Below are 20,208 nucleotides of genomic sequence, written 5' to 3'. Positions count from 1 at the left end.
TTTTTTTTTTTTTGAGACAGAGTCTCCCTCTGTCTTACCCAGACTGGAATGCAGTGACACCATCATAGGTCACTGTAGCCTCAAATTCCTGGCTTCAAGTGATCCTTCCACCTCAACCTCCTTAGTAGCTATGACTACAGACATGTGACACCATGCCCAGTTAAACTGTTATTATTTTTATTTTTTGTATGGACAGGGTCTTGCCTTGTCGTCCAGGCTGGTCTTGATTTCCTAACCTCTAGCGATTCTCAGGTCCCGGCTTCCTAAAGTGCTAGCATCACAGGCATGGGCCACTGCATCCAACCCTCTTCCTCATCTCCTTTCTAGCTTTTGGTGGTGGCCATCAGTCTTTGGGGCTCCTTGGCTTGGAGCTACATCATCCTAATTTCTGACTCTGTTATCACATAGAGTTCTCCTTGTGTATCTGTGTCTTCCCCTCTCTTTATCACAACATGAATCACACTGGATTAGGGCCAGCCCTAATGACTTCATGTTACCTAGATTACATCTGCAGAGTCTCTATGTCCCAATAAGGTCATGTCCACAAGCACCAGGGGTAAGGACTTCAACATGCCTTTTGCAGGACACAATGCAACCCATAATACACTATTTCCTATCTGAATTCCTGGTGCACAGGAGAGATAATAAAATGATTACAGTTATTTTAAACCATTTACTATTGGGCTATTTGCTACATAGCTAGAACTGGAATATCGACCAACCTCCTCAAGCTCATCTCATGTGTTACTTGTCTGGTTCACAAGAATTCCTGCCTGCCTCCTCCCCTTCTGCCTGAGCATAGATCTCTTCCTATCTTAACAGCTTTGCTAGAGTTTCTCATGATATCCTGGTTCTGGCTGGGCACAGTGGCTAATCCCTATAATATGAACACTTCGGGAGACTGAGGTGGGCGGATCACTTGAGCTCAGGAGTTCCAGACCAGCCTGGGCAACAGGGCAAAACCCCATCTCTACTAAAAATACAAACATTAGCCAGGTGTGGTGGTGCACACCTGCGGTCCCAGCTACTCAGGAGGCTGAGGCAGGAGAATCACTTGAACCCGGGAGGCGGAGGTTGCAGTGAGCCGAGATTGTGCCACTGCACTCCAGCCTGGGTGACAGAGCGAGACTCTGTCTTAAAAAAATAAATAAATAATCCTGGTTCTTTAGGTACTTTGAGTACCTTTAGAGCTCCCTCCAGTCACATAGAGCAAACCCCAAACCTGCCCAGGTGTTCTCAGACTCAGACCATCCACCCCAGCTGGTCCCTGTGTCTCCCGCATAATTTTCCTTTGATAACGTTCCAAAAAGAGCCCCAAATTTCCCATCACCATTTAAGCCCAAAGAGATGGCTGATTTTCTGGGTGAGCAAAAAAAGGAGAACTTGATGTGTGTCAACAAGAGCCAAAACATTAAAAAAAAATGATAGCTTTTCACTGAAATCTGCACATTCCTTTGGCCTCTTACATCTGGAGAATGGACATTTGTAATTTCCCTGCGTGGTTGTTCTTGTAGGAGAGCTGGAATCTGAACGCGCCCCCAGAAAGTTTAGAAAAAGAAAAGTCTAAAAGCAAGCTTAGAAAAATATGTAGTTTTAGTTCTTTCCATTTCTGTCACATGGAGAAAGCACAAAGCTGTATTTCTAAACTTGAATGCTTTAAAATTTGTGGAGTTGTCCAACGCACAATGCATTCTCCTCATTCTCCTTTTAGATTTTCAAAAGGGAAGGGAATTCATGAGAAAATAGTGAAACGGGTACCACTTTGTTTCCTGTAAGGCAGACACTGGTTGCATATGGGTCTCCATTGAAGAAGTTCCCATCCATGACATTCTGCATATCTACAGACAGTAGCTTCAAGGGTGAGAGTCAAAATTGTCAAGGGGCCAGGCGTGGTGGCTCACGCCTGTAATCCCAGCACTTTGGGAGGCCAAGATGGGCAGATCACGTGGTCAAGAGACAGCGACCATCCTAGCCAACATGGTGAAACCCTGTCTCTACCAAAAATACAAAAATTAGCTGGGTGTCGTGGCACGCACCTGTAATCCCAGCTATTCGAGAGGCTGAGGCAGGAGAATAGCTTTAACCCAGGAGGCGGAGGATGTAATGAGCCGAGATCATGCCACTGCACTCCAGCCTGGCAACAGAGTGAGACTCCTGTCTCAAAAAAAAAAAAAAAAAAAAAAAAGGAAGAAAAATATTGGTAAATCTATCCATGAAATTTCCATTTAGACTTCTTGTCCCAAAACTAATTGTTTTTAAAAATTTATTATTATTATTATTATTATTATTATTATTGCAACAAGGTCCTGGTCTGTTGCCTAGACTGCAGTGCAAGGGTGCAATCATAGCTCCCTGCAGCCTCAACCACCTGAGGCTCAAGCAATCCTCCCACTTCAGCCTCCTGAGTTGCTGGGACTACAGGTGTGCACCACTACACCCAGCTAATTTTGTAAAGCTTTTGTAGAGACAAGAGTTTCACTATGTTGCCCAGGCTGGTCTCGAACTCCTGGGCTCAAGCAATTCTCCCACCTCTCCCTCCCAAAGCACTGGGATTACAGGCAATGTGCCACTATGCTCAGCCCTAACTGATTTAAGTAAGAGCTTCCACAATAATGATGGTCACTGGCATGAGTACTTTTCTTGCTGAGCTAGGCTGGTATATAATACTTCAAAAATGATGTTCAAGGACAAATGTTTCCAATCAGGGGGAGCCCCCAGCAGAAACCATCCAGACTGAGAAAATCATAAAGAGATGTCAGAGGCGTTTTATGCATGAATCCAGGTTCCTCTGTGGGTCCTGAAGCTGAGGAATGGGTTGCCTCACTCTGCATGCTTTATTTATTTTATTTTATTTTATTTTATTTTATTTTATTTTATTTTAGTATGCTATGCTATGCTATTTTATTTTATTTTATTTTATTTTATTTTATTTTATTTTATTTTATTTTTGAAATGGAGTTTCGCTCTTGTCACCCAGGCCGGAGTGCAGTGGCACGATCTCAGCTCACTGCAACCTCTGCCTCCCAAGTTCAAGTGATTCTCCTGCCTCAGCCTCCCGCATAGCTGGGATTACAGGCACTTGCCACTACAGCTGGCAGCCAGCCCACCTAAGCGTCATGCTGCAAAATGCATAGGAAAGACAGTGTGGGCGCCAGAAAGACCCGACCTGTCTCAAGTGGCTCCTCTGGACCCAGTCTCTGCATCGCTTGGCCTGGTCCATCATTTTTCCTCTGGTCTTCCTGGCTCTCCAGTGCTTTGGTTTACACACTCCAGCCTTGATTCCTTCCTGCTCATGGCATCTCCTCCTTCAAGTGATAATTCAGACTCTTCCCACTGCCCAGTTCCCTGGCCCTGGAAGCATCCACAGTTCCAGGCACAAAAAGCATTGGTCCCACAGCACCACAGGCAACTGACAGACGGACAGCTCCATCTGCGCCCTTGGCATCTTTGCAAGAGAAGAGGAAATAAAACAATGACATTTCGGCAGGGTGCTGTGGCTCATGCCTGTAATCTCAGCACTTTGAGAGGCCGAGGCAGGCGGATCACCTGAGGTCAGGACTTCGAGACCAGCCTGGGCAACATGGTGAAACCCCGTCTTTACTAAAAATACAAAAATTAGCTGGGCGTGGTGGCATGCGCCTGTAATCCCAGCTACCCAGGAGGCTGAGGCAGGAGAATCGCTGGAATCTGGGAGGCAGAGGCTGCAGTGAGCCGAGATCACGCCACTGCACTCCAGCCTGGGTAACAGAGCAAGACTCTGTCTCAAAAACAAACAAACGAACAAACAAACAAACAATCAACAGTGACATTTCTCAGATGAGCCCATTTCCAATGAGCCAAAAGATGGGAAACCATAGATAGATAACTTGGTTGCAAATACCTGAGGAGTTTCCCAGACATGCGACTAATTTCCTGTGGAAGCTCTGAAAATGTAAGAAATTGCAGTGGAGGTCCTGGAAGGCTGAGCACATCACAGTCCCTATGGCTCTTTCACAGACATCTACCCAACTGCTGGATCCAGGGCTGCAGGGAGCAATTCGGGACCCTTACAGCTGTTCCTTGTGATTTGATATTCAACAGGCCTAGAGCCAGGCGTGGTGGTGGCTCACGCCTGTAATCCCAGCACTCTGGGAGGCTGAGGTGGGCAGATCACCTGAGGTCAAGAGTTCAAGACCAGCCTGGCCAACATGGTGAAACCCTGTCTCTACTCAAAATACAAAAATTAGTCGGCATGATAGCACATGCCTGTAATCCCAGCTACTCAGAAGCCTGAGGCAGGAGAATCGCTTGAACCCATGAGGTGGAGGTTGCAGTGAGCCGAGATGAAGCCGCTGCATTCCAGCATGGGAGACAGAGCGAGACTCCGTCTCAAAACCAAACAAATGGCCAGGCGCGGTGGCTCATGCCTGTAATCCCAGTACTTTGGGAGGCCTAGGTGGGTGGATCACCTGAGGTCAAGAGTTCGAGACCAGCCTGGCCAATATGGCGAAACCCTGTCTGTACTAAAAATACAAAAAATTAGCTGTGCTTGGTGGCGGGCACCTGTAATCCCACTTGTGCTTGGTGGCAGGCACCTGTAATTCCAGCTACTTGGGAGGCTGAGGCTGGAGAATCGCTTGAACTCAGGAGGCGGAGGTTCCAGTGAGCCGAGATCGAGCCACTACACTCCAGCCTGGGCAACAAGAGTGAAACTCCATCTCAAAAAACAAACAAACAAACAACAACAACAAAAAGAAAGTGCTATTCAACATGGCTACATGGACAGGGAACAAATAGTTGTGCCCTAAATAGAATAGGGGCAGGTTGAGTCCCCTCCCTTTTTCTGTGGAAATAGTAGAAAATGACAACAAGCACATCAGGATGTCATCTCCTAGGGCCTTGCCCCAGAAACCCAGAGCCATAAATCACCCACATCACTAAAGTCCCAACTGGAGAGGATGGTGTAAATTCAGGTTCACATTTATAGAGAATCAAATTATTGCTTTATTCCCAAGGAGATGAATGAGAGTGACAGGCTTTTTGGAGTTATAAAAATAGATGGATGCTTCCTATAAAATAACTCACAGATGCCTACAATAATTTACAATAGATCTGGCAGGCTGGGAGCAGGCAAGTGAAATTCCAAACAGAATACCACACTATTTTCCAGTGGTAGAGTAAATGGTTTGGCTATTATGATAATACATTTCAGCAGAGCAAATCTATCTCCCCTTAATAGAAATACATTAGACATCATTTATAAAAATATCAACATTGCAGTTCTATTTCTTGAACTATAACTTCGACATAAATATAATACAATTTATGGATGAGGAAATCCAATTTCATGCTGTTTCAAACACATTTTTGTTTATTACATAACTACAGTTCTCTATATATGAGATAGTGTAGTACATGAAATACATGTACGGGCATGGTTCCTATCTGTGTGTCTACATAAAGATTATGAACATAATCTATTGCAGATGGAATTGTTTTATGATATGCATTATATACAAGCATCATCCATAGCACCTACCATATGACTGCGTCACCGTGTATCTGCAATATTGTCACAGTTATCCAGATGGTGGAAGAATAAAGTTATATGGATGAATAAATTCCAAGCAAGAGGTCGCAAGCCTCATAGAACTCAAATTATGTAGATTTGGGTTGAGTTCCGGCTGTTCTATTTATTAGCTGTAAGACCTTGGACAAGTTGACTTGTGTCAATCCCAGTATTATCATCTGTAAAATAGGTTCAATAATGAAAAACGCACAGAAATCTCACGAGCACTGAATAATGTAATGTTTATAAAGCGTTTACTACAGTGTCTGGAGTACTGTTAGTGGCAATCCACAGTAGGTATTACTTTTTTCTTTTTTTTTTTTCAGAGACAAGGTGTCAGTTTGTCACCCAAGCTGGAGTGTAGTGTTATGATTATAGCTCACTGCAGCTTCAAACTCATGGGCTCAGGCCATCCTCCTGCCTCAGCCTCATGAGTAGCTGTGACTACAAGGGCACACCACCATGCCTGGGTAATTATTTTTTGTAGAGACGGGTCTCCCTATTTTGCCCAGGCTGGTCTTGAACTCCTGGGCTCAAGTGATTCTCCTGTCTTAGCCTCTCAAAGCACTGAGATTACAGGTGTGAGCCACTGTGCCTGGCTAGGTATTACTTTTAAGTTCTCCTTTGTCCCATTTAACGTAATAACATTTGTGTGAACTCATTCTCAAAACTGGTACCTGCCAGCTTGCCTTAGTAAGCTAAGTACTCTGAATACAGACTAACTGTGGTGCAAAAAGTGCTTCTCAATGAAAATTACAAAGAAGACCAGTCTATGGTTTCCCCTCATTGTGGCTTCTCTTTCCTTCTCCGAGCAGTCCATTCTGTTCTCTGCTACCTCCACACACTAATAACAGTGCTGGTGTTTCTTGACACTCACTTCCCACGTTTAGCTTTTTAAGGGCCCCGTATTGACCCTTATGTGGGCTATGTGTCCTCTCTGGCTCAGTTTTGGTATGCAAAGATATAGTTTAGCTTTGACAATCAATAGGGTAATTTGGGGGAGGGAGGGTGGAGGATTTTTTTTTTTCTTATGTCTGGAAGTTCTTGGATTTTTCCCCAGTGCTGTAGCAATAATAGTAATCACCGAGCTTCCAGCTGGATTCATGAGACCAGCCACAGTGATGGTGGACTGGCACAAATTACCACACAAAACAAATCCATGTTAAGCAGAAGTCCAGATTGGCAGCTTCTCTGGGAGTATGGGTTGTCCGACATTGTAGAACTGAAGGCCCAAGAGAGTGCTGGGTAGAATCAACCTAAAAGCAGAGTGTTTGGTGCATGTGGCTGTGACTACACAGCAATACCTAAAGAATGCTAAAATTTTAGGTCAACTGAGTTTAGTTAACTGACTTGTAGCCTCGGTAGAAAAGAAAAAACAAAAGTGAACTTAATTGTTCAATGCCATATAGCTCTAATAGTCTATATCAAGGAGGTGGTATAATCACACAGAGAAAATTATGTCAAATAATTTTAAAGACATTGGTTGTACATCTATAATGGAATATATCCTAGGGACAAAACAAACCATAAAGAAATATTAAACCTCATCCAATCAACTTGTTAGTATTCTTATTTTGAAACTATTATTTATATATTGTAGGATAAGTCAAATAAGAAATGATGTCAATAAGAACCAAGACTTTCAGTGAAAAGTAAATATAAAATATAAGAAGTAAATACCTGGTAATTACAAATTTGAACAGAAGACATTAGTATGAAATAATGATTTACCTTACTCTTTCTAAAAAAACAAAAATCAGTGTTGTCTAGCTTTGTTCATGGAAAAGGCTTAGAAACAATGGCAACCTAGTGGCAATGAGCACCCTCACTGACAAGACTTCGGTCTCTAAATACCATTTCCCATTGGAAGGGATTGGGATTCCTTAGAGAAATGGCCAATTCCAGGTCTAGGACAGTAAATAACAAGACAGGACAGGAACTTCTTCTTGTGCCAGAAAGCAAGGATGTTCTGCAAAGTGGCTGCTTAAGCCTTTTTGCAATATTTTAATTTTGACTTTTAGGATTTATTACACATAATCTGCATAAGATTCCTTCATCAGTTACAGGCATTATGAGTATTTTTCCCGGCATGTGGCTTGGCTATTCATTTTTTAATACTTTGTTTAGATGAGCTGAAATTTACATTTTAAGTCAAATTTATCATTTTTTCTTTATTAGTGTTTTTTTAATGTTTTCAGTACAAAAAAGTATTACCCACAGCAAGATACTCTCTTATGTTTTCAGCAGGGCCTTTATGATCATAGACCTAAGTGTGAAAGATAGAACCATATAAACTTTCTAGAAGAAAATACATAAGAAAATGAACAGACAAGCCACAGACAGTAGAAAAATATTCACATAGTACATATCACTGAAAAAGTAATAGTACCCAGAATACATACCACAGACCCCTGGAAATCAACAACAAAATGAAAAAACATGATGTTTAAAAATGGGCAAAAGGAGATACACAAATTAACTATAAGCTCAAAAAAAGGTGCTCATCCTCCTTCAAGGAAGAGTAAATTAAAACCATACTGAAGTACCCCCCTTCAAAGGGTAAAGAGGTGGCTGGGTGCGGTGGCTCACACCTGTTATTTCAGCACTTTTGGAGGCTGAGGCAGGCGGATCACTTGAGGCCAAAAGTTCGAGACCAGCCTGGCCAACATGGTGAAACCCCATGTCTACTAAAAATAGAAAAATTAGCCTGGTGTGGTGGTGTGCGCCTATAGTCTCAGCTACTCAGAAGGCTGAGGCAGGAGAATCGCTTGAACCCAGGAGGCAGAGGTTGCAGTGAGCTGAGATCACACCATGGCACTCCAGCCTGGGTGACAGATTGACTTTGTTTCAAAAAAGAAAAAACAAAAAACAAAAAAGGTAGAGAGGAGAAAGGAGGAAGAGAGCTTGATTAATGGATACAAACATACAGTTGGATAGAAGAAATAAGACCTAGTGTTTGATAGGTCAGTAGGGTGAATATTGTATACCATTACCTTTTATATATTTCAAAACAGCTAGAAGAGAATGAATGTTTTTAGAAAAAAGTCAAATATTTATGACTATAAATATCTCAATTACACTGACTTGATCTTTACAAATTATATGAACATATTAAATTATCACATGTACCCCCAAAATATGTACATCTATTATGTGTCAATAAAAATAAATAAATAAAAGAATCCTTTCAGTGTGCCATGCAATTAAAAAAAAAAAACCCTACTAGGTTTGGTAAAATAGATTCTGACAATACCAAATACTGCAAAAGAGGTGGAACAGTGGAAAATGGCACATTTTGGATACCTGATTGACAGTTTCTTTAAAAGTTGAACACACATCTTCTAGATATTCCAACTATTCAAATCCTAGGTATCTACCCAAGCGAAATCTAAACAAATGTTCATAAAAGACTTTTATATGAATGCTCATACCAGTCCCAAATTGGAAACAACCCAATTATTCCTCAGTAGGACAATGAATAAACAAATTGTCATATATTGACACAGAGGAATACTTCTCAGTAAACGACAAAGACTGTGTTGCTGATAGATACACACAACTGCAACATGGAGAATCTCACAAACATTCCTTTAGTTGAAAGAAGTCAGATACAATAGAGACTATAAGATGTGATTCCATTTATGTGATATTCTGGAACAGACACAACTAATCTATGGTGATAAAAATCAGGGCTGGGTGCGGTGGCTCATGCCTGTAATCCCAGCACTTTGGGAGGCTGAGGAGGGTGGATCAGTTGAGGTCAGGAGTTCGCGACTAGCCTGGCCAACGTGGTGACACCTCGTCTACACTAAAATACAAAAATTAGCCAGGTGTGGTGGCAGGCGCCTGTAGTCCCAGCTACTTGGTAGGCTGAAGCAGAATTGCTTGAACCTGGGAGGCAGAGGTTGCAATGAGCCAAGATCGTGCCACTGCACTCCAGCCTGGGTGACAGAGCAAGACTCCTTCTCAAAAAAAAAAAAAAGAAATCAGGAAATGCTTGCTGGGGCGGGAAGTGTGGGGTGGGGAGGAGGAAAGAACTGATAGGAAAAAGGGACTTTCTCAGGCAACAGAAATGTCCAATGTCAGGTTTTCAGAGGTGATTATAGGGGTATATATTAATCAGACTGTGAAATTCATCAGACTGAAGACTGGCAATCTGTACATTGGACTGTATTAAATTATGCTTTAATAAAAGTAAATATACAGTGGGCAAAAAATGAATAATGACAATGGATTTAGACATATAAAATATTTATTTAAAAAAAAACCCTTGAGTCCATATTATTGAGGAAAAAAAAGAAAACCTCATTGGTCATCTTAAGAGGGTGCTATGACACCAACTCATTATTCTGAAGATGTTTAAATAAAAAGAAGAAATCAAGCATTTATCCTGCTTTCCTGGTTTGAATTGTATTTCAGAATACACAAATAGTTGAGTAGGAAAAGTTACTTTTAATGGAAGAATTACAGCTTATAAATGCAGAATGAGTGTAGAGTCTAAAAATCACCATTCCGTAGGCCCTAATGAATTAATGGGTGTAGGCAGTGATCATTGGTAGCTGCTAAAACCATTAATTAAGTGAAAGATTGATGGGGAGCTTTATAATGAATCAATCAGGCTGACAACACCTGAACCTGCTGTTGAATCCTAACATCAGAAACAGTGAGATAACCAGACATTATGTATCTCCCAATGTCAGCACTAGGAAGTTCATAGCAGAGCTTAAAGTGTTCTTGCCAAAAAGAAAGAAAGGAAAAAATAAAGGAAGAAGTAATCAACCTTGTAGATCTAATTACAGCTTAGAAAAATAAAAAGAAGATTAAAGGAACAAGTTAAAGACATCAAGAAACATCAATCTGCTAAATCCAGATTGTGTGAAATTGTATAGGACAAATGACTTGGTTTCTTTGACAAATGAATGACATGAAATTAATAAAGGTGAGAAGACCCCGTCTCTACTAAAAATACAAAAAATTAGCTTGGCGTGGTGGCGGACGCCTATAGTCCCAGCTACTCCGGAGGCTGAGGCAGGAGAATGGCGTGAACTCGAGAGGCAGAGCTTGCAGTGAGTGGAGATCGCGCCACTGCACTTCGCGAGACTCTGTCTCAAAATAAATAAATTAAATAAATAAATAAATAAAGGTGAGAAGAAATGTTGCAGATTGAAAGATACTTTAGAGACACATCAGCCAAATGCAGTGTGTAGACCTTGCTGGGATTCTTATTTGAGTAAGCTGACTATCAAACAAATTTTTTTGAGAAAATATAACTGAGTTTTGAGAAATATTTTTGAGAAAACATGGACTGGGTAATGGATTTTCCTAAGTGTAATTTTATGTCGAGACTATGTTTTTAAAGAGTCTTTATATGTTGGCAATGCACTGTAAAGTATTTATAGATGGAATGAGACGATGTCTGGGGATTTGTTTTTAAAAAGTCAATGAGCAGTAACTGAAAAAAACAGCAAAATGTTAATATTTGTTAAAGCTGAATGATCAGTACATTTGGATTCATTATGCTGTGCTATCTTCGTGTATGTTTCAAGTTTTCCATCAAAAATGTTGAATTAAAATAAAAGAAATTAGCATAAAATGTAATGACTGAATTCTTCATTTTCCAGTTTGTTTTGAAGGGAAAAAAACAGTGAGACAAAATAATCTAAACCTCTCATCCACTCGGGGGAAAATTTCCAGACTGTATAAAATTTAGCATTACAGAATTTAAGAAACTCTAAGAAGGAGGCCCTTTTTTGTTTGTTTGTTTTGAGACCCAGTCTGGCTCTGTCTCCCAGGCTGGAGTGCAGTGGCGCAACCTTGGCTCACTGCAACTTCTGCCTCCCAGGTTCAAGTGATTCTCCTGCCTCAGCCTCCCGAGCAGCTGGGATTATAGGCGCGTGCCACCACGCCCGGCTAATTTTTTGTATTTTTTTTTTTTCAGTAGAGACGGGGTTTCACCATGTTAGCCAGGATAGTCTCCATCTCCTGACCTCGTGATCCACCTGCCTCAGCCTCCCAAAGTGCTGGGATTACAGGCGTGAGCCACCGCGCCCAGCCAGGAGGACCTTAGTCTACAACTGACTTCACGGTCCTGGACATCGTTTGGAAGGTCTCTTGAGGAAGGGCTGTTTGGTGTGTGGTGTGTGTGTGTGTGTGTGTGTGTGTGTGTGTGCATGTGTGTTCATGCATGTGCATGTTATAGCTTTCTACATAGATCAGCCTGTTACTCTTCTTTAAGAGGATGGCAATACATTTTAATAAAGATAGCAAAATGGCCCTGCTATCTAATGCCAGGGAATCTGTTTAATTTTTCCCCTTTTTCCATGTCCAATAAAACTTCGTTCTGCACTGAGGCTGAGTACGTTGTGTAACAGTGAAAGCTGGAAGAAAAAGGTGCCACTGCAGAGACAAACTTACAGGTGAGCAGCTCATCATCTGCAGCTCTAGGGAGGGGCTACGGGGGCCTGACTATCTCTTCCTGGCAGGTGACATAGAGGCAAACAGGTGGCCAGATGTGGTGGCTCAGGCCTGTAATCCTAGCACTTCGGGAGGCCGAGGTGGGCGGATCATGAGGTCAGGAGATCGAGACCATCCTGGCTAACACGGTGAAATCCCATCTCTACTAAAAATACAAAAAATTAGCCGGGCGTGGTGGTGTGCCCCTGTGGTCCCAGCTACTCAGGAGGCTGAGGCAGGAGAATCGCTTGAACCTGGGAGGCGGAGGTTGCAGTGAGTCGCGATCCTGCTACTGCACTCCAGTTGAGAAATTCAGAAACCCACATACTGGCCTGAAATTGGAGTATGGAGCAGAGATGTGAAAGTTGTAAACATTTTGAAAAACTAATTTTCCCCAAAATTATTTCGGGAGGGGAAAAAAAGATGATAGGCTTCAATTTTTTAAAATCCTACTTTCCCAATTTGTTTTATTTTTTATTTCCATAGGTTATTGGGGAACGGGGGTGTTTGGTTACCTGAGTAAGTTCTTTAGTGGCGATTTGTGAGATTTTGATGCACCCATCACCCAAGCACTATACCCTGCACCCTATTTGTAGTCTTTTTTCCCTCACCCCCTTCCCACCCTTTCCCCTGAGTCACCGAAGTCCATTGTGTTACTCTTATTCCTTTGCATCCTCATAGCTTAGCTCCCACTTATGAGCAAGAACACACGATCTTTGGTTTTCCATTCCTGAGTTACTTCACTTAGAATAATAGTCTCCAATCTCATTCATGTTGCTGCAAATGCCATTAATTCATTCCTTTTTATGGCCGAGTAGTATTCCATTGTATATATATACCACAGATTCTTTTTTTTCTTTTTTTGAGACGGAGTCTTGCTCTGTCACCAGGCTGGAGTGCAGTGGCACGATCTCAGCTCACTGCAACCTCCGCCTCCCAGGTTCAAGAGATTCCCCTTCCTCAGCCTCCCGAGTAGCTGGGTCTAAGGCGCATGTCACCATGCCCAGCTATTTTTTTTTTTTTTTGTATTTTTAATAGAGACAGTGTTTCACCATGTTGGCCAGGATGATCTCCATCTCCTGATCTCGTGATCTGCCCGTCTTGACCTCCCAAAGTGCTGCGATTACAGGTGTGAGGCACTGCACCCGGCCACCACAGATTCTCCATCCACTCTTTGATTGATGGGCATTTGGGTTGGTTCCACATTTTTGCAATTACGAATTGTGCTGCTACAAACATGTGTGTGCAAGTATCTTTTTTGTAAAATGACTTCTTTTCCTCTGGGTAGATAACAGTAGTGGGACTGCTGGATCAAATCGTAGTTCTACTTTTAGTTATTTAAGGAATCTCCATACTGTTTTTCATAGTGATTGTTCTAGTTTACATTCCCACCAGGTATAACACATATGGCCACTACCTGCTGTAACTCACACGCTCAAACCATAGCAGGAATCCCTATGTCCTCGCTCCTCTAAGTCAGCCCACACCCTAAGCACTGTGGCCTTGCAGACTCCAGGGTGGAATGGAGAATAGCCAACTCTTGTCCTGGCACCCCTCTGCCAAATCCCACTCTTGGCCAGAGTCCCTTCCCAGCCTTGTGTTCCCTTGACATCTCACTGTCAGGTTAGAGAGAACTGCTACTCCTCAAACTCAGCATTTCTAAAATGGAACTACTCATGTCCCCACTGACAAACCTACCCTACCAGAGTCCTCTATTTAGGGGATTGCAGTCAGTTGCTGGGAAGCCTGGGAGATACCCTTAATAATCCCTTCTCATTCACTCCTCTCATTCAGTGGACCACCACTGATATAATTTGCCTCTGTCTCCCCACCCAAATCCCATCGTGAATTGTAATCCAAATTGTAATCCCCACGCGTTGAAGGAGGGACCTGGTAAGAGGTGATTGGATCATGGGGGTTGGTTTCCCCCATGCTGTTCTTATGATAGTGAGTGAGTTCTCACGAGATCTGATGCTTTAAACGTGGCCGGGCGCAGTGGCTCACAGCTGTAATCCTAGCACTTTGGGAGGCCAAGGCGGGTGGATCACATGAGGCCAGGAGTTCAAGACCAGCCTGGCCATCATGGTGAAACCTCATCTCTACTAAAAATACAAAAATTAGCCGAGCATGGTAGTGCACATCTGTAATCCCAGCTACTTGGGAGGCTGAGGCATGAGAATCACTTGAGCCCAGGAGATGGAGGTTATAGTGAGCTGAGATTGAGCCACTGTACTCCAGCCTGGGTGACAGGGCGAGAGACTATGTCTCAATCAAAACAAAACAAAACATAAAAGTGTTTAGCCCTTCCTCCCTTGCTTGGTCTCTCTCCTGCCACCAGCTAAAACATGCCTTGATTCTCCTTCCCCTTCCACCATGATTGTACGTTTCCTGAGGCCTCCCCAGCCATGCACAACTGTGAATCAATTAACTGTCTTTTGTTTATAAATTACCCAGTCTCAGGTATGTCTTTATAGCAGTGTAAGAACAGATTAATACAACCACTCTCTGTCTATCACACCTCCTAAAGGGCACCGGTACATCCAAGTCTATCTCAGGCTTAGTGCTCCCTCCTTGGCTTAATCCCCACACATGCAAATGCCTCTGGGCTGGCCTGGGGTGTCTCAGAAACATGAGATTTATCATATAATCTTTCCACCTTCTCCCAAACCTCCTCCAACAGTGCTCCTTAGAGAACAGCAACACTATTTCCCACCTGCTCAGCCTGGACTCCCACTTCTCTTCATCCCCTGCATACACTCAATCTCCAGGCCTTGTCTCTTCCACTTCCTGAATTTGTCCATTCCTCTCCCACTGTCACAACCATATAGGTCAAGCCCCTCCTCACCAGCTTTTCCTGAGTGTACGCAGCTTTATCATCTATTTTCCACATGGCTGTCATCATTATCTTTTTAGTAAAAAGAAAAGTCTAATCCTCTTACTTCTTTTAAATCCCCTCAAGGGTGGTAAGTAATGGGTACTTGAGACTATCTATGTCTCATCTATCTATCTATCTATCTATCTATCTATCTATCTATCTATCTATCATCCATCTATCAATTTATCTATCATCTATTTATATATCATCTGTCTAATCTATCATCTATATCTATCTTCTTTGTATCCATCTATCATCTACATCTATCATCCATGTATCTTATCTATCATCTATCTAATCTATCAAACTATCATCTATTTATCTGTCTATATAATCAGTCTATCATCTCTATCTATCCATCAATCATCTATCGAATCCATCATCTCTATCTAACCTATATCTCATCTATCTATATCATCTATCCATCTATCTGTTATCTCTATTATCAATCTAATCTATAATCTATCAATCTATCCATACCTATATATTTCATCTATCTAATCTATCATTCTATCCATCATCTCTATCTATCCATCCATCATCTCTATCGTCTATATCTCTATTACCTACTATCTCTATCATTAATCTATCATCTATCTCTATCATCCCTCTATCTATCCATCCATCCATCCATCATCCATGCATCTTTCTCTCTCTAATCTATGTATCTATCATGTCTCTGTCTCTCCCTCTCTCTCTCTTTCTTCCTACCTACCTATCTATTTGTCTACCTAACCTACCTATCTAAAATGTCTACAGTGATCCTTAAGAAAAAGCCAACTTTCTGCTTATCAATCCTCATAATCTGGGCCCCACCTTGATGGTTGTCGCTGCATCTAAGAGGTTTTCTTCCCCCTTTCTCTGCTCTAACCATCCTGAACTCCCAAGGTCCTCAGGACACATTTATCTCTCAGAATTCCAAATCTTTGCAGATGTTTTTCTGTCTAGAATATTCTTCCTTGCACACCTCCTTCTTTGCTTATCTATATTAAACTCACTTTAGAATTCTTAAACAGCATTTCCGTAAGAAGGTTCCTCCCAACTCCCTAGACTAGGCTATATTTCCTTACTATATTTTCCCACAGCATTGCTCTATCTTGTTTTTTCACACTCATCACAGTGCTAATTATTTATTTCATGAACAGTATTTCTGTCTGACTATAAATTTCATGGAGATAGAGACCCCATGTATTGACTGTGGTAGCTCCAGTGGAAATGCCTGCTGGGCTACAGAAGGCACTCACCAAGTTTCCATTTAATCAGAAGTATTCAGTTGAACTGTTGGCCACCAGTCATACATTCCCCTCCATGAAAGACCAGTTTGTGAAATCTCAAGGCTCACTCTATACTGGGACAAGACCAGGAACTTTGCTTTGATCTGTATCACAGATAAACTTGGGCTCTGCCCTACAAAGGTATTCACATAGCCAAGGATGACTTCCTTCACACCAGGCCTTGGATCCAACCTTGACCAGTGCCAATAGGTGAGAGAACAAAGACTCATGCAATCTAAAAAGTATGAAAATGAAAACGGACTGATCATCTGGTCCTCTCTGGGATGGACCATGATGCAAATTACATTATTCAATGGATGTAGCAAATTTGAGCTCGAGAGTTCCAAATGGACAACACAGGCCACAGAAGGCTTTGGGACATCAGGGTTCCTGATGCCAGAGGTCTCAGAGAAGGCAGGGGGAAATCTCTCTTGGTTAACATGGATGGATGGGTCCCTAAAACCATAGAGAAGTGGCTAGGGCGGGGATCAGGAGGGCAGGCAGAAGGCCTTGCAAGAGCTAGCTGTAGACAAGAGGGAAGCAAAACTAAGAACAAGAGACAGGGCAAAGAGACCTGTGGGAGTGGGAAATGCTGTTTTCATTCAGGTTCCTGGGGCTTTGGCTATTCCAGATGGCTCATAATTTCTATATAAGGCCAGGCACAGTGGCTCACGGCTGTGGTCCCAGCATGTTGAGAGGCTGAGATGGAACAGTCCCTTGAGGTCAGGAGTTTGACATCAGCCTGGGCAACATAGTGAGACCCCCATCTCTACAAAAGAACCAAAAAACAACAATTAGCTGGTTGTAGTGGTGTGCACCTGCAGTCCCACCTACTTGGGAGGCTGAGACAGGAGGATCACCTGATTCTAGGAGTTGGAGGCTGCAGTGAGCTATAATTTTTGTAACTGCACTCCAGCTTAGATGACAGTGAGAATTTGTCTATATATATAAAAATTGTAGGCCGGGTGTGATGGCTCATGCCTGTAATCCCAGCACTTTGGGAGGCCGAGGTGGGTGGATCACCTGAGGTCAGGAGTTCCAGACCAGCCTGACCAACATGGTGAAACCCCATCTCTATTAAACGCAAAAAATTAGCCAGGCGTGGTGGTGGGTGCCTGTAATCCCAGCTAGCTGGGAGGCTGAGGCAGGAGAATCGCTGGAACCCAGGAGGCAGAGGTTGCAGTGAGCCGAGACTGCGCCACTGCACTCCAGCCTGGGCAACAAGAGTGAAACTCCATCTCAAAATAAATAAATAAATAAATAAATAAATAAATAAATAAATAAATAAATGTAAACAACCCCTCCGAAGGAGCAAGCCTTCAAAACCCACTGCTGATGTGATCTCAGTTGGCTCAGACACTATGAAACCCTGAGTCTGCGAACCACCCCCCAGGTCTTCAGTGCCTTCAGCTTGAATGGACAGAGCTAGACAAGATGGCAGGAGTTCTAACCATGTCTCCACCTGAGTCCTGAAAGTGGCACTCCAACTCCTCAGAGAAATGGAATGGCTCAGAGACATCTTGAGCTATGCAACCAGCAATTAAGGCATCTGGGTTAAACTCTGCTTTTTAAGAATGTTATGTTTACCCTGAGTGCAAATTAAAATACGCTTGTTCTTTGCCCATCACTCATCATGACTCATCTAAGCCAACACGGACTCAGAGTCTGAATCGCTTCCTGGTGACTGTTATGGAGCAACAGGGAACCCAACAAGAAGACCCCTGCAGGGGCTGAACCATGGAAAGGCCCTGAGGGCTGGGCTGGAATCGGCAAGAAGGTTATCTCACTTGAGCATCCTCAAACCCTCTTATATCCTTTCCTCCATGATGGCTTACTGGTGTCAAAATTTTGCGTGTGTGTGCGTGTGTTTGTGTGTGTCTGGGAATGGAGAGCTCATTTCTTGTATTAATTTTTTAAACTTCAACTTTTGTTTTAGTTTCAGGGGATACATAGGCAAGTTTCTCACATGGGTGTTGTGTGTGATGCTGAGCTTTGGAGGAACAACCGATGCCATCACCCAGGTAGTGAACATAGTACCCAATAGGTAGTTTTTCAACCCTTGGCTGCTGTCTGTCTCCCCACTCTAGTAGTCCCTGGTGTCTGTCATTCCCATCTTTATGTCCATGGGTACCCAATGTTTAGTTCCCACGTATAAGTGAGAACATGTGGTATTCGGTTTTCTGTTCTTGTGTTAATTCACTTAGGATAATGGCCTTTCACTGTATCCATGTTGCTGCAACGGACATGATTTCAATCTTTTTTAGGGTTGCATGGTATTCTGTGGTGTCTACGTACCACATTTTCTTTATCCCATCCACTGTTGACAGGCACCTGGTTGATTCTATGTCTTTGCCATTGCGAATAGCACTGTGATGAACATATGAATGCAGATGTCTTTTTGGTAGAATGGCTATTATTAAAAATTCAAGGCCAGGAGCGTGGCTCGTGCCTGTAGTCCTAGTACTTTGGGAGACCGAAGCGGGCAGATCACTTGAGGTCAGAAGTTTGAGACCATCCTGGGCAACATGGGGAAACCCTGTCTCTACTAAAAATACAAAACTTAGCCAAGTATGGTGTGTGCCTGTAGTCCCAGCTACTCTGGAGGCTAAGGCAGAAGAATCACTTGAACCTGGGAGGCGGAGGTTGCAGTGAGCTGAGATCGTGCCATTGCACTCCAGCCTGGGCAACAGAGCAAGACTCTGTCTCAAAAAACAAACAAACAAACAAAACACACACACACACACACACACACACACACACACACAAAGTTAAAAAACAACAGATGCTGGCAAGGCTGCAGAGAACAGGAACACTTGTACACTGCTGGTGGGAATGTAAATTGCTTCAGCCACTGTGGAAAGCAGTTCAGAGATTTCTCAAAAAACTTAAAACAGAACTACCATTCAATTCAGCAATCCCATTACTGGATATACACCCAAAATAAATAAATCATTCTCACAAGTGTTTTCACAATTCAATGCATCCACACAAGAATTCTGCCTTTTATTCAGTCCTTGGGATTCGTGATAAAGTCAAGACAGTCTTTGGTCATTTGGGGATCTGAAAGTGTGTCTCCCTTGTCTTCCTTTAGAAAGGACTCCCCAGCAGGACGCAGCAGTCTTGGGTGCCATGTTTTTATATAAGAGAACAGAAGAAGAGAATGCCTTTTCTTCGTAAATGGACTGATATATTAGAGAATGACTTTACATCATTTTAAAGTAACCTATCTTTTCTTCTGTCCTTGGAGAATTTTTTTTTCTCTTAACATTTAGACATGCTACTATAATACCCTTTGTTAATAGTTTCTGATTACTATTACTCAGAACAAGATGAAACCTTTCAATTTCCATCTCATTTATTTTCTCAATTCTGGCTTTTTTAAAAACTTCTTTTCTGTATTGATTGTTTTAGTCACAGGCAAGTTGCCTTTCATGCAGGCAAGAGCCCTAGAGTCAACTGCTATTTTTGTTCACAGTAAGACTTTCTATTCTTGTGTTCTTCTGACAGATCTTTACTTACTGAGGATGGAATTAAAAAGTAACACAAAATTTCAAAGACTAGTTAGAAAGATCACAGATTGAGCCATTTCTTGGTTTAAAAAAAAAATGGCCGGGCACGGTGGCTCACTCCTGTCATCCCAGCATTTTGGGAGGCCGAGGCGGGCGGATCACGAGGTCAGGAGATCGAGACCATCCTGGCTAACACGGTGAAACCCTGTCTCTACTAAAAGTACAAAAACTTAGCCGGGTGAGGTGGCAGGCACCTGTAGTCCCAGCTACTCGGGAGGCTGAGGCAGGAGAATGGCGTGAACTCGAGGGCGGAGCCTGCAGTGAGCCAAGATCGCGTCACTGCATTCCAGCCTCAGCGACAGAGCGAGACTCTGTCTCAAAAAAAAAAAAAAATCAAGAAAATAGTGTTCTCATGTTAAAAATTTTCCATTGAATGAAAGCATAGGGTTTTGGGTCATTACTTACAGGTAAGCTTGTATATGTAAATGTATGTGTGTACACTACATGAAAATTATATATATGCATGTATATATATTTACATAAAGCCCT

The 20,208-nt window shown here is 42.5% G+C and overlaps 1 protein-coding gene across 3 annotated transcripts in view; it reads right to left on the bottom strand.

Annotated features, from left to right (window-relative positions):
• Positions 1–20,208, bottom strand: part of GALNT17 (polypeptide N-acetylgalactosaminyltransferase 17) — a 581,456-nt gene that overhangs the window by 118,155 nt on the left and 443,093 nt on the right. Inside the window, exon 7 of one of the 3 annotated variants that reach the window (XM_017012521.3) lies at positions 12,866–16,919. The exons of the other annotated variants lie outside the window; for them this stretch is intronic. Coding sequence (XP_016868010.1) covers positions 16,773–16,919 — 147 coding nt within the window. The 3' untranslated portion in view covers positions 12,866–16,772. Of the gene's footprint in view, positions 1–12,865; positions 16,920–20,208 lie in introns of those variants that run through there. 3 annotated transcript variants of the gene reach the window in all.

This window comes from Homo sapiens, chromosome 7 (genome assembly GCF_000001405.40).
Source record: "Homo sapiens chromosome 7, GRCh38.p14 Primary Assembly".
Lineage (NCBI taxonomy): Eukaryota > Metazoa > Chordata > Mammalia > Primates > Hominidae > Homo > Homo sapiens.
Note: the sequence above shows the minus strand (reverse complement) of the source record. Positions and strands in the feature narration are given on the sequence as shown.